General features: G+C 40.6%; 1 long non-coding RNA gene across 3 annotated transcripts in view; it reads right to left on the bottom strand.

Annotated features, from left to right (window-relative positions):
- LIX1-AS1 (LIX1 and RIOK2 antisense RNA 1) overlaps positions 1 to 13,733 on the bottom strand; it is a 40,691-nt gene extending 26,958 nt beyond the window's left edge. For 2 of the 3 annotated variants that reach the window (NR_187470.1, NR_187471.1), the window contains exons 1-2: positions 13,620 to 13,733; positions 5,087 to 5,197 (exon numbers count right to left, since the gene is read on the bottom strand). This is a non-coding gene — a long non-coding RNA (LIX1 and RIOK2 antisense RNA 1). The remainder of the gene's footprint in view (positions 1 to 5,086; positions 5,198 to 13,619) is intronic. The other variant, NR_187472.1, reaches the window with a different exon arrangement.
- Positions 13,734 to 14,153: the final 420 nt, after the last annotated feature.

Raw genomic sequence — 14,153 nt, 5'->3', positions numbered from 1 at the left:
CTTCCAGACCAATCACACACCGGAATAAGCATACGGGTTCCCTGAGGACTGTCCTGAAGGGGACAGTGCTCATTTGTATGTAAGAGTTTTGTTGTGCAGAGAAACCTAATCACTCCCATTACTCTGCAGTCACACTTCATATATCTTCAGTGCTGATGAACTGTTGTTATGCAAGTGAGTCAGGAAATTTCCTCTGGTCTATTTCTAGCGGGCCCTGGCTTCCATTATCAGTGGCTACTAATACCTTAATAGGAAAGAAAACAGTTGATCCCAACAAGTAAATACAGTTGTAGCGAAACTGGACAGTTCAACAGCCTGGATAGTTTGTTTATCCCCTCTTGCTACTAAGCCAGTTGCAAACCTTAACTATGACTCTACTCTGACCCATGAGTCCCGACTCAGGCAGTCATAAAATGATTTGGGGAACGATTTATTCTGAGGCGATCCACTGTGTATCTCTCAGATATTTCCATATTTTCCTGTAGTGATTTTATAGATGATGTCTAAAAGTTAATAGGGAGTACTTGGCACAATCATGTTTTCACATGGAAATTTTGAAAACGCAAGTGACTCTATGAGGTTCCAGATTGCCAGGTAAGTTAAAAAGTCATCCTGACACTATAATTAACTGAAACTAAAAAGGGGGAGATGCTTTACCTTTTCAGTTAATCTTTTCTCTCAAATGACCTGGGAATTTTATTCATTTGCTTATTTATTTATTGTGGCTATTTGGATTAAAACAATTTTTTTGGTCACAAAGCCACCAAAGCAAACAAATAAAAAAATAGGGGAAACAATTTTAATTCTCTTAAAAGCCAAAATACATTTGCTTCTGATGCCTCACATAAACATATTTGTTAAAGAGTAGGTTTAGTAAAATAGAGAATTTAAATTAAGACCACTTTCCTTCATCCTGCCTTTCATCTACAACATTCTTATTGGCAACATGTTTTGCAACCTTTTTCTTTTTTTTTCAGACATCCAAGGACAGTGTCTCCTTGTCCCGTTCACCAATTGTCTATGAAAAGCCAAGGGGGCTTGGCTCTCACTCCACTGAAAAGAGGCTTCCACAGGCTGCATCTCACCACATGGGCAGCTTCATCCCAGGCATTGCAGGTGTCACAACATTGACAGTAGGATTCACAGGATCTAAAATAAATGGCCTAAAAAGCAAGAAAATTAAAAACCAAAACTGTCAATTTCTAAAATCTATTTCTCTCTCTATTTATGTGTGTATATATATAAAATATATAATATATATAATATGTAATATATATTATATATTATAGTTTTGGCTGCATCCCTACCCAAAATCATCATGAATTGTAATAATCCCCACATATCAAGGGCAGGACCAGGTGGAGATAATTGAATCATGGGTGCACTTTCCCCCATACCATTCTCATGATAGTGAGTTCTCATGAGATCTGATGGTTTTATAAGGTGCTTTCCACTTTGCTCAGCTCTCACTTCTCCTTCCTGCCTCCATGTGAAGGACATGTTTGCTTCCCCTTCTGCCATGATTGCAAGTTTCCTGAGACCTCCTCAGCCCTGCGGAACTGTGAGGCAATTAAACCTCTTTCCTTTATAAATTACCCAGTCTTGGGTAGTTCTTTATAGCAGTGTGAATGGACTAATACAATATATATGTATGTGTATGTATATAGTTACGAGAGGTGACAGCATGCTGGCAGCCCTTGCTCGCTCTTGGCGCCTCCTCTGCCATGTTGCCCACTCTGGCCACATTTGAGGAGCCCTTCAGCCCCCCGCTGCACTGCGGGAGCCCCTGTCTGGGCTGGCCGAGGCTGGAGCCGGCTCCCCCTGCTTGCCGGGAGGTGTGGAGGGAGAGGCGTGGACGGGAACCGGGGCTGCAGGGTGGTGGAGCTCGTGGGCCAGCGCGAGTTCCGGGTGGGCACGGGCTCCGCGGGCCCCACACTCAGATCGGCTGACCGGCCAGCACCACCAGCCCCAGGCAGTGAGGGGCTTAGCACCCGGGCCAGCAGCTACGGAGAGTGTGCTGGGTCCCCCAGCACTGCTGTCCTGCCTGCGCCGCACTTGAATTCTCGCGGGGCCTCAGCCGCCTCCCCACGGGGCAGGGCTCGGGACCTGCAGCCTGCCATGCCCGAGCCCCCCGCGGTGTGCTCCAGCAGCAGGCTGGAGCCTCCCTGACAGGCGCCACCCCCTGCTCCAAGGCCCGGTCCCATTGACCGCCCAAAGGCTGAGGAGTGCAGGTGGGCGGTGCGGGACTGCTACCTGACAGCACTAGTGGGCAGCTCCGCCCTTGGCCCCGGTGCCGGCTACACTAGGCAAAGCCAGCTGGGCTCCTGAGTCAGGTGGGGACTTGGAGAACTTTTATGTCTAGCTGGAGGATTGTATATGCACCAATCAGCACTCTGTGTCTAGCTCAAGGTTTGTAAATGCACCAATCAGTGCTCTGTGTCTAGTTAATCTAGTGGGGGCTTGGAGAACTTTTATGTCTAGCTAGAGGACTGTAAATGCACCAATCAGCACTCTGTGTCTAGCTCAGGGATTGTAAACGCACCAATCAGCACCCTGTCAAAATGGACCAATCAGCTCTCTGTAAAATGGACCAATCAGCAGGATGTGGGCGGGGCCAGATAAGGGAATAAAGGCAGGCTGCCCAGGCAACCTGCTCAGGTCCCCTTTCACACTGTGGAAGCGTTGTTCTTTCGCTCTTTGCAACAAATCTTGCTATTGCTCACTCTTTGGGTCTGCACTGCCTTTATGAGCTGTAACACTCACCATGAAGGTCTGCAGCTTCACTCGTGAAGCCAGTGAGACCACAAACGCACCATAAGGAAGAAACTCCAAAAACGTCCGAACGTCAGAAGGAACAAACTCTGGACACACCATCTTTAAGAACTGTAACACTCACCGCAAGGGTCCGTGGCTTCATTCTTGATGTCAGTGAGACAAAGAACACACCAATTCTGGACACAGTTACACGGTTAGAAGAGCACACCAGGGTTCAAAGAAAGAACTTAGTTAAGGAAAGGAGTCTCTGGGAAGAAGAGAGGAAGTCCATGGAGGGCTAATCATACCTATCATGAAACAGAAGCTCCTGATTCTGCCCCTCTAACTCTCCTCATTTTTCCTTTTAACCTGAGCCATTTCTTTTCTAGATTCAACCTTCAATTTCCTTCTCATGTTGTTGTCTATTTACACATTCTATTCATTCTATTCAAATTACTCTTAATTCACGTTTGAGAATTAGAGCTTTGGGGAAGTAATCAAAGGAAATTGATTTTATGGTAATTAAGGTCTCCTCATTTACATGTACTCCCAATAAAGCTGTGCTTTGTTGCAGTCTCTTTCTTGGTAGCAGAGATGTATCTTATATCCAAAGAACACACAAAAAAATAGATGGTTACCTTGTGTTTCTGGCTAACCTTTACAAAAATGAGGAATTTGGAATGATAGTGTCTGTACCAGTGTCAATTTCTGCATATTAAACCGAAAGTTTGAGGACTGCTCTCATTCCCTGCCCCGGGCTGAAGAACAGGGGCTGTGATTCCAGTCCCCAGATGTAATTGTGAGGAGCTCCCTCATGTAAACAGGAGGGGATTCTCCAGAACCTAGGCACAAGAATGAAGGGTTAGTACCTGGTTCAATTAACCCAGGGAAAAATTCAAGCTCAACAGGCATTCTACAGAAGAAATTCCAGTTTTCAATCCCAGTACTTACCGAACCATGGTAAGATTTTCACCAATCAGATTGGAAAACTATAATTAGAATGTCCATCATTGCACGCCTGTAATTCCAGCACTCTGGGAGGCCGAGGCGGGCGGATCACGAGGTCAGGAGATTGAGACCATCCTGGCTAACACGGTGAAACCCTGTCTCTACTAAAAATACAGAAAATTAGCCAGGGGAGGTGATGGGCGCCTGTAGTCTCAGCTACTCGGGAGGCTGAGGCAGGAAAATGGTGTGAACCAAGGAGGCGGAACTTGCAGTGAGCCGAGATCACACCACTGCACTCTAGCCTGGGCGACAGAGCGAGACTCTGTCTCAAAAAAAAAAAAGAATATCTATCATTGGTGAGTCTGTGAGGAAATGGATCCTCCAACAGTGTTGTTGAGAGTGTCTTTTTTGAGTCTTTTTTGGAGCCAACTCTATTAAAATTGGATATGTTCTGTCCCTTTGGCCCAGCATTTTTCACCTCTATGAATTCATCCTGGAAAACCACTGCTGTAAGTGCTCAAGATATGTCAAAAGAATGTTTTTGTTTAATTGTTCATATTAATAAGCATTGGAATGTTCCTCATTAGGAAACTAGTTTCAGGACACATTTCTTCCTGTGCTCTCCAATACAGTAGCTACTAACCACTTGAAATGAGGCTAGTCTGAATTGAGTACACACTGGATTTTGAAGATATGAAACAAAAGGTAAAAACATTTCATTAACTTTTATGTTGATTGAATGTAGCAGCAATAATATTCTGGGTATACTGGCCTAAATATATTACTAAAATTAATTTCACCTTTTTAACCTTTTTAATGTAGCTATTAGAATGTATAAAATTGCATATGTGACTTGCATTTGAACCTTGCACTATATTTCTCTTAGACAGCACTGATCTGTACTATGCAGTCACTAAAAGAAACTAGATCTCTATATATAGATACAAAAATAAAATATCCACTATAGATTAATTGAAAAACAATTTTAAAAGAAATACATGAAGTAAAAATCCAGGTTTTTTTTGGTTTTTAAAAAATTAGGCATATAAAAAATAAATTTGTAGGAATACACTCGAAACATTATTGAGAAGGTGGGGATTAGGAGTCAAGAAGGAAGCTTTTTCTACACTAAGTAGATTTTTTTTTTAAGAGCGAAAGATAGAGATACATTTGCAGAAATTTCTGTCTACTCAAAACAATTCATAGTCCCTATTCTTTCAATGTTGCACTTTTCCTTGTGGTCTCTATGTTGCAGAGAGGGTTGTTTCTCAGAGATGTTTGCTTAATACAAATAACCTTCCCCTCTGTATCCCAGAAGGGAAATAAGGACTAGTCCCCAGAGAACAAGCAGGCAGTCTTCAGAGAGGGATCCCCAGTAACTTACAAGGGGTGACAGAGTCTTTCTGTCAGGAGTCAGCGACTCTCCCTGCCCATCGAGTCAGCAGTAATCAGGTATAATCAGGTGAAGAGGAGAGGTAGTAACCAGCTGGACAACCTAGGCAATAGGAAAGTGTGAAAATGAAAGAGATTTCCCACCAGAGGATCCACAGAAAGGTTGTACCAGTCAAATGCAGTCTTGTGCTTCTCTTTTGAGATGAGGGTACCGTACATGGGTTTGCAGTTTTCACATAAAAATTGGATTGATACCAAACATTTGTGCCGTTTATGTACACCAGGAAAAAATTACATTAAAGCTGATGATTAAAAACAAACTCAAGGGAGAAAAAAAAAGTGAAAACCAACATATAGTTTCAGGATTTCCTGTTGGTTGATTTCCAAATATGCGTTTTACTGACTTGGCATTCACTGGCCACAGAAATCACTTTTGATGATATTGTAAGGGTAGAAAAGGTTTTTCTCAATCCTCTTAGGGTCCCTAGCTGGTTCTGAAAAAAAAAATCAAACTAATAAAGATAGATCAATAGGAGAAAAACACACAAATTTATTTATTTACTTTAATTACTATGAAGTCAATTTCCTTTGATTACTTCTCCAAAGCTCTAATTCTGAAATGTGAATAAAGAGTAATTTGACACAAGAGCCTTTATAAGGAAATGAAGATCCAAAGACAATGTTGAAGCTGAGTGTTTTTTATAGTAGGCTTAATAAACATTAAACTATTTTACCTCACATTTAATAGCATGTTTACATATATATCGACATAGTTCTGACTTGTGTCCATATTACTTTGTATTCTATTTTAATCATTTAACATTATTTCTTGCACACATCTTTCTATGTGTTACCATGTTTCCAAAACTTGTCTTGAATGGTATTTCATCAGTGAGTTTATTTGCTCTTCAGGGAAATTTTTGGTTTTCCCAGTTTTCATTATCTTTAATATTAGATTGGTGCAAAAGTAATTGCAGTTTTGGCAACTATTTTTATGCACTTTTCTGAACCTACTTTTTTCAAAACAATTATTTTTAATTTTCATGGGTACATAGTAGGTGTGTATATATATATATATATATGTGGTATATGGGATATTTTGATACAGGCATACAATGTATAATAATCACATCAGGGTAAATGGGGCATCCATGATCTCAAGGCTGAACCTACTTTTTTACAATTTTTTTTTTTGTCTGATTTGTTTTCTCCAATGATAGCTCTTCTGGGTAGTTCCAAACTCTCTTTTTAAATCTTTGAGTTCTTTTGTTTATGATATATACTTGTCATGAAATAAAATGCTGCCCAGGCTAGAGTGAAGTGGCACAGGCGTGACAGCCTTGAACTCCTGACCTCAAGCAATCCTCCCATCTCAGCCTCCCAAGTAGCTGGGACTACAGGCGGTCATCACTGCACCCTGCTCTATGACATACTTTTAATATAAATGACCTCAATTTCTTGTTTTATACCAAATAAGCAAACATTTTCTGGAGTAGAATTAACTTGACAAATTGTTTGAATATTTAAAAATTCTTAACACACAATAAATACTTAATACATGTTACTAGATAATTCTTCAAAAATAGAAAACCAATTAGAGGACTGTAACATATGTGGCCCAGTTTCCCCACAACGTCACCTTTCTTAAGGGTTAGAATTATTGTTATCGTTATTTTAACAGGTAAGTTTCTTCTTGAAGGTCTATAAATGCTCTCCACCACACACACACACACACACACACACACACACAAAAAAAAAAAAAAAAAAAAAAACATTTTAAGAAGTGTTTCAAAACCACACCTGTCATCTGACCAAAGATCTACGCAGGCAAGAAGCTTTATTTCTTTGTCCTTCTGTTTTTCTATTTTCACTAGTAAATTGTTACTCAAACAAATGAGGAAGATACACAGAATATTTAGAGATGCTTAGAGATAGGAGTCAATTATATAGAAGTAATGTATGTTTTTACAAATGACTAATGTTAACATCAATGTTAAGCACAAAAATATACAAAGAGTAAGCAGAGTATGTCATTCAGATTAACAAATAAAGATTATTAGCAACTTTATACAAAGCCAAAGAAGACATAGTCCTTGTAGAAAATGGCTCTATATAAATGTGTTATAGTAAATCCCCATCTCTATTTCTGCCAAATGAAGAATTCATACAAATATATTCAAATTTTCTGTTTATCAAGTTTATCTCAAAATATTCAAACTAGTCCCTGTGTCTCCCTCATATCCCTTCGCCATTGCTAGATTTTGTTGTAACCAAAGGGGAGGAAAGACACTAGAATAGTGTTACAAGAAAAACTTTAGCCGAATTAAATTTAAAGGTGTTTAACTGAGCAATGAGCGATTTGCAAATCGGACAGCCTCCAGAATCATAGCAGATTCAGGGAGACTCCAGGGATGCCTTGTGGTCAGAAGAAATTTGTAGAAAAAAAAGGCAGTGATGTACAGAAATTGGAAGTGAGGCACAGAAACAGCTGGATTAGTTACAGGTTGGCGTTTGCCTCATTTAAACACAGTTTGAACACTCCAGCAGTGTGTGAGTGGTTGAAGTATGGCTGCTGTGATTGGACAGGACTCAGCGACTGTTACAGACACACATTCCTAAGTTAGATTTTCAATCTTCTCTAGCTATTAAGTTAGGTTGCCAGTAGTCCACAAGGACTCAAATATAGAAGTACGGAGTCCTTCTCAGGCCCCATTTAGTTTGCTTTAACAATAGGCGCATGCTGGTCATCCCGTGGAAGGCCACCCTGCCTCTAGTAGAACAGCTACAGCAAAAGGAGAACTTAAGCACAAACATTAAACTGCCCATTCAAATAGTGCTGAGAGTTTCTCTTTTCCTTTTATGTGCCTTCTTCCCTTGCACCATTCTATTTGGTTATGCCACTGAACATTTTTGTTTCTATTCTTTGATTCCCACCAAACCATTGTGCTGTGCTTTGAAATAATATGCTACAGATTTCCACATTCTATACCAGCCCTTGTGTCCCACACCCCTTCTCTCTATATATATCCCCTCTGCCTACCAAGAAAGGGGTGGGCACTGAACAATAAAGAAAAGGGACACAAAAAGAGAAAAGCTCACATGGTGCCCATGTGCTGGTTAAGTTCTTGTTTTGTTTTTCTCAGTGGGGTTGGCAAATGATGTCTCAAACCCATGTGTCATTAAATGAATCAGCTCCTCCACCCTCACAATAGATGCTACAGATCCCTTGACGAAATTCACTTGGTCCCACAAGAGAGCCAAGGCACACAGCTGTGCTTCCTCTCTGTCATTACAGAGGTACAGAGTTTGCAGCAAAGGTGACATTTTAAATCTGTTAGCACCAAGGAACAAAGACAACTGTGATAATTTCCTTCCCCCTCTTCTCCCCTGGTTTCCCCTGATACAAATGAGCACCGACATTCTGATTAATTAGACTTTGAGCATTTAAAACAAAATACATTTCTGTATGCAGGAAAGTTATTCCAGTTTGCCTAAGTAATTAAAAGAGAAAGCTTCAGCATTATAATACCTGAGCAGTTCAAACTGAGTAAACCCTGATACAGGAAAACCTGTCTGATGAGAAAGATTTTCTTCCTATCAGCAAAGGAAGTTTATTTCTCAGGGGCAGATTTAATTACTTTATGCAAATATCATCAGCAAACGATCCAATGCCACTATGCTCTCTGCCCAATAATCTATATCATCTCCCCTGTTTAATATCCAAATTGTTAGTATGTGTATGTGTATATTCAGTCATGTACTGCACAGTGACCTTCCAGTCAATGTCAAACTGTACATATGCCAGTGGCGTCATAAGAATATAATGGAGTTGAAAAACTTCCATCACCTATGGAAGTCATAGCCATAATAACATCGTAGCACAATGCATTACTCCCATGTTTGTGGTGATGCTGGTATAAACGAACCTACCTTATAAACTTTAAAGTAAAAAAAAGTTACAGTAAGCTGAAGTTAATTTATTATTGAAGAAAGAAAAATTTGTGTTTATAGTGTAGCCTAAGTGTACAGTGTTCATAAAGTATTCAGTAGGGTAATGTCCTAGGCCTTCACATTCACTCACTGCTCACTCACTGACTCACCCCAAGCATCTTCTAGTCCTCCATGCATGTTACGTGCCCTACACAGGTGCACCAGTTTTTATCTTTTACGCCATATTTTTACTGTACCATTTCTATGTTTACATATAGAAATACCAACCATTGTGTTACAATTGCCTATAGTATTCAGTACAGCATGCTGTACAGGTTTGTAGCCTAGGGACAATATGCTATACCACCTAGGTTTGTGTAAGTCCACTCTACGATGTTTGCAAAATGACAAAATCTCAGAATTCTCCCCTTCATTAAGCAATATATTACTGTCTCTTTTCTTTCCTTGCCAGCTCTCTCCCTCTCTCTCTCTATATATAGAAGTAGATGTAGGAGAGAATTTACCACCTGGACACTTGAAGGAATTAATTATGTTTATAAAGATGGAAATGATTATAAAAGACATATTTAGATCAAATTGAAAACAAATAATCTACTTCAGTTAACCATAGATTAATGAGGGAGGAAAGTTAAACAGCAAATATGATCAAGTAATCCTCTACAGTTGAAAACTGCAATCTCATAAAACATTAACTCAGACGGTGCTCTAATTGAATGATATAATATAAATGCTTGCTATCTTTCATCATAGTCTACTTAAATTTTTTCTTTTTCTTTTACTTCATTATTTTATTTTATTTTTTTTTTTTTGTGAGACAGGATCTTACTCTGTGGCCCAGGCTGGAGTGCAGTGATGCAATTTCGGCTTACTACAACCTCTGCCTCCCGGGCTTAGTTAATCCTCCCACCTCAGCCTCCTGAGTAGCTGGAACTACAGGCATGCACCACAACACCTGGCTAACTTTTTGTAGAGACAAGGTTTCACCATGTTGCTCAGGCTGTTCTCAAATTCCTGGGCTCAAGGGATCCACCCACCTCGGCCTTCTAAAGTGCTGGGATTATGGGCATGAGCCACTCCACCTAGCCAAATTTTCTTAATTCCACACAATTAGAAGTTCTAATGTGAATCGTTTTACATAGCCTTGGTATGCCCCTGCCCTTCTGCCCAACTAAATTGTGACATAGTCACTCTACCACTTGTTAATTGTGACAAATTTATATTCCACAATGTACATTTTAAATTGTTTAATTTCTTTTACTTGTAAAATACATTTTACCAAAAAAACCTCACCCGCATATGCTTTTATCTGGATTCCTAATTTTAAAGATATCTGCAGAGTCATTTTACACTTGTCCAGTTGTATACAGCCAAATCAGAGATGCAATAGTAGATTGTCATCAACAGTTGTAATAGTAGATTGTCATCAATAGTTTTTGAGCATAAAATCAAATTCCACTCATAAACATAGGCGAACAAATAGAGTTATCTATGGCAAATATTCTTGTAAATGTTGTTATCAGAAACTTATTCTAATCCCAAAGTTATAAGGTAACAGTCACTAGAATTATTAATACAGACCTTTCCATTTTACTGGGAGTCTGCCAGCCTTTCCTAGCAAACAGACTTGGACAAAAACTCAGGTTTATGATGATAAGAGATAGAAGAAATAATAATTTAACTTAAATTTTGGTATGCAATAGGTATGTCAGATATTTGTTGACCTTTTCTGATCCACCTGATAAGATGTCAGTCATGGCTGCCCCAGAGATGATCTACTCAAAGCCACTGTATCAATATTTCCCCTCCTTCGAAGTTCTTCATTGACAGGAACCAAAATTGGTGGCCTCTGTCTTCAATTATTTTGAGGCTTATAATTTTCTGTTTCTACTTTAACTGTGTGACTTGGATGAGTCTTTTAAGATCTATTATTACTATTATTATCACTTGTAAAACAAGAATATTTTGCTGTCTTCCTATGCAGCAAGTACTATCCTAAGGGCTTTACATTTATTTATGGCACACTTACTTTGAAAAACCCTGTGAGGTAGGAACTACTATTATCTCTAGTTTATAAATGAGAAAATAGAGTCAGAGAGGTTAAGTAGTTTGCCCAGAGACACACAGCAAGGAAGTTAAAACTGTCTATTGCCATTGTGTAGATCTGAGCACAAATGCTTTGTCATCAATGGTTAATTCAGTACTTTTTTGACTTTAATAAAGCTGAGAATCACCTGGGGATCTTTTAGAAACATAGCCTGTGGTGCAGTAGGTCTGGAGTGGGGCCCTTAAAATGTATTTCTAACAACTTCCCAAGTGACACTGATGCTTCTGGTCTGAGGATCGTATTTAGAGAAGGAATATCATCAACCATGTCCTCGTCAAATTCATAGTTCTGGGCTGCATCATGGTACACGGGCCATGTTATTAGTTGTCTCCCACTTGTGTAAGATGTAGAGGAAATAACATAAGATGCCTGTGAGGATTTGATGTGATCATCTGAGTCTTGCTCTGACAATTATTAACATTCAGTTGCCCATTAAAATTCTTTGGAATCCTAGGACTTTGTCTGCTCGTCTCCTGTCAAATTCACTCCCCATCACCAATGGAGAGCAGCAGAGTTACTTAATCATTTCAGTCTTTTTCCATTCATTTCACACAGCTGTAATCAAAAACATAGGAGACTTAGAAGCCGATATGGAAATATGCTTCTGCTCCTCCGGGAGACATTTTTAGCTAGAAAGCTACTGATCTAACCTCAGATCCTCAAGACAATTACCCAGGAGCTGCTGTTGACTAACGAGTGAGCATTTGAAGCACGCACACAAGAGAAAGAAAGTGTTTTACACAAACACAAGAGCTTCATGGGCCTATATGATCAGGCCTAAGAAGACTAAAATATCTTTTCCTAATAAATATTCATTGAGCTAAGCACTTTGCTACATGATTTCTAATTAAATGTCATATTTTAATTCTCACAACTATCCTGTGAGATAACTTTCTCATCCCTGTTTTTTAGATTTAAAAAAACTGAGGCTTGAGAATTTTACATGACTTACCCAATGTCACATAGATGACATGAAATAGATCTGGCATTTGGCTCCCAGCCCAGTGTGTTCTCTCGATTATATAACTCCGTGTTATGTTAGTCTACACAGGAGCCAAGGTAAAGCCATACTTACCTGGGATTGCATTCCTGCTCTTAAACTTAATGGTTATATAACCTTGGGTAAGTTGTTTAAATTTTCTAAGGCTTAGTTTTTCAATATAAACGCAGAAAAGGCATGTCTAGGAAGAATTAGGGAAGGAAGTAATACCTGAGCCGAGTCTTGAAAGATAAACAGGAACTTTCAAGATAGACTGTTGGGTGGGGCAGGTTAAGAAAAGTGTACCAATGGGAACAACTGTGCAAAGACATGGAGTTGGAAGACAGCATGGAGCTTCAGGAAATAACAAATATTTCAGGGGTGCTGGCTCATGCATCTCTGCTCTACAAAATGGGAGCCCATGAAAACAAAAATCTCCATCTCCTAGCTCAGTACCTAATCCATTATCAGTACTTCACAGCACAGGATAGGTGTTTCAGAAATACTGGTTGAATGAAATAAATGAATAGGTGAATGAAAATATTTAATATTTGCTGCTAAACTAGAGGAAGATCATTGGTCATGTACTGGTTAGGCTGAGTGGCTTAAACAACAGAAATTTATTTTCTCAAAGTTCTGGAGGTGGGGAAGTCTAAGATGAAGGTGCCAGTAGATTTGGGTTTTAGTGAGGGCTCTCTTCCTGGCTTGCAAATGGTCACCTTCTAGGTGGAGAGAGGAAGCTCCGGCGTCTCTTGCTCTTCTTATAAGGGCAAGTAATCCCACCATGGAAGCTCCATGCTCATGCCCTCAGCTCAATCTAATTTACCCCTCAAAAGGCCTACCTCCTCATAGCATAACATTGAGTGTAGGGCTTCAACATATGGATTTTGAGGGGACACAAACATTCAGTCCATGATAGAGACTTAATCGCCTTGTCTAAATTCAAGATACTCTATCTCCTTAGTCGTATATGTAGGATTAGGCTTTTTTCTTTTTTTTTTTTTGAGACAGAGTCTTGCTCTGTCACCCAGGCTGGAGTGCAGTGGCTCGGTCTCGGCTCACTGCAAGCTCCGCCTCCGGGGTTCACGCCATTCTCCTGCCTCAGCCTCCGGAGTAGCTGGGACTACAGGCGCCCGCCACCACGCCCGGGGCATTTTTTGTATTTTCAGTAGAGACGGGGTTTCACCGTGTTAGCCAGGATGGTCTCCATCTCCTGACCTCGTGATCCGCCCACCTCAGCCTCCCAAAGTGCTGGGATTACAGGCGTGAGCCACGCGCGCCCGCCTAGGGTTAGGCTTTATATTCTGTACCTCACTCCAGATACCACATCTTGGGGATAAAAATAATATCACAATGACCACAACAGTATCATTCTCTGGCTCTGTCCTTCACTTCCCACTTCTAGAAGTTCCAACTCTCTCGAATTTCTCCCGCACTTAAGATACCCCCAGGGCACAGCTCACACTTGCTCACAGGCGAATTCCTTCTTACCTTCTGGCATCTGCCATTATCTCTTCTCCTGCTCTTTTGTGCTGTGTCTGATGAATTCTGTGGCTGCTGATACCAAAAGCATCAATAGTCCCTCAAAGATGGTCAAGATGAAATGGGAGAGTTTCCTAACCCCCTTCACAGGATGTGTGACAGGGGTGTGGCTCATCTGTTCAGCCTCTGTGCACTCAAACCCCTTACTGGAGGGGGAGCATGCAGACGGGCAGGTGCAGGAGGCGGGGCAAACACTTTTGGGCTCCAGCCCCATGGTAGTAGCATCCAGGGTGGGTGCCTGCAACTCCCAAAGCCCCAGTGGGCATGTTACAGTGCTCTTTTAGCTCTGCCGTCCACAGACAGCTCAAGTGTTATCCAGCCCAGTGCCCTCTTGGTACCTGGATGCTGGGTTCTTGTCCAGCATCCAGGAAGAATCAGGTCACACAGGCAAATTGAAGGATAGTGAATGCAAGAGATTTTATTGCCAGATGGAGGTGGCTCTCAGTGGAATGGCTGGGGAGTGGGGAAGCGAATGGAGTAGGA

The sequence above is a fragment of the Homo sapiens genome, chromosome 5, assembly GCF_000001405.40.
Source record: "Homo sapiens chromosome 5, GRCh38.p14 Primary Assembly".
NCBI classification, from domain to species: domain Eukaryota; kingdom Metazoa; phylum Chordata; class Mammalia; order Primates; family Hominidae; genus Homo; species Homo sapiens.
This window is presented reverse-complemented; position numbering and strand designations above follow the sequence as displayed.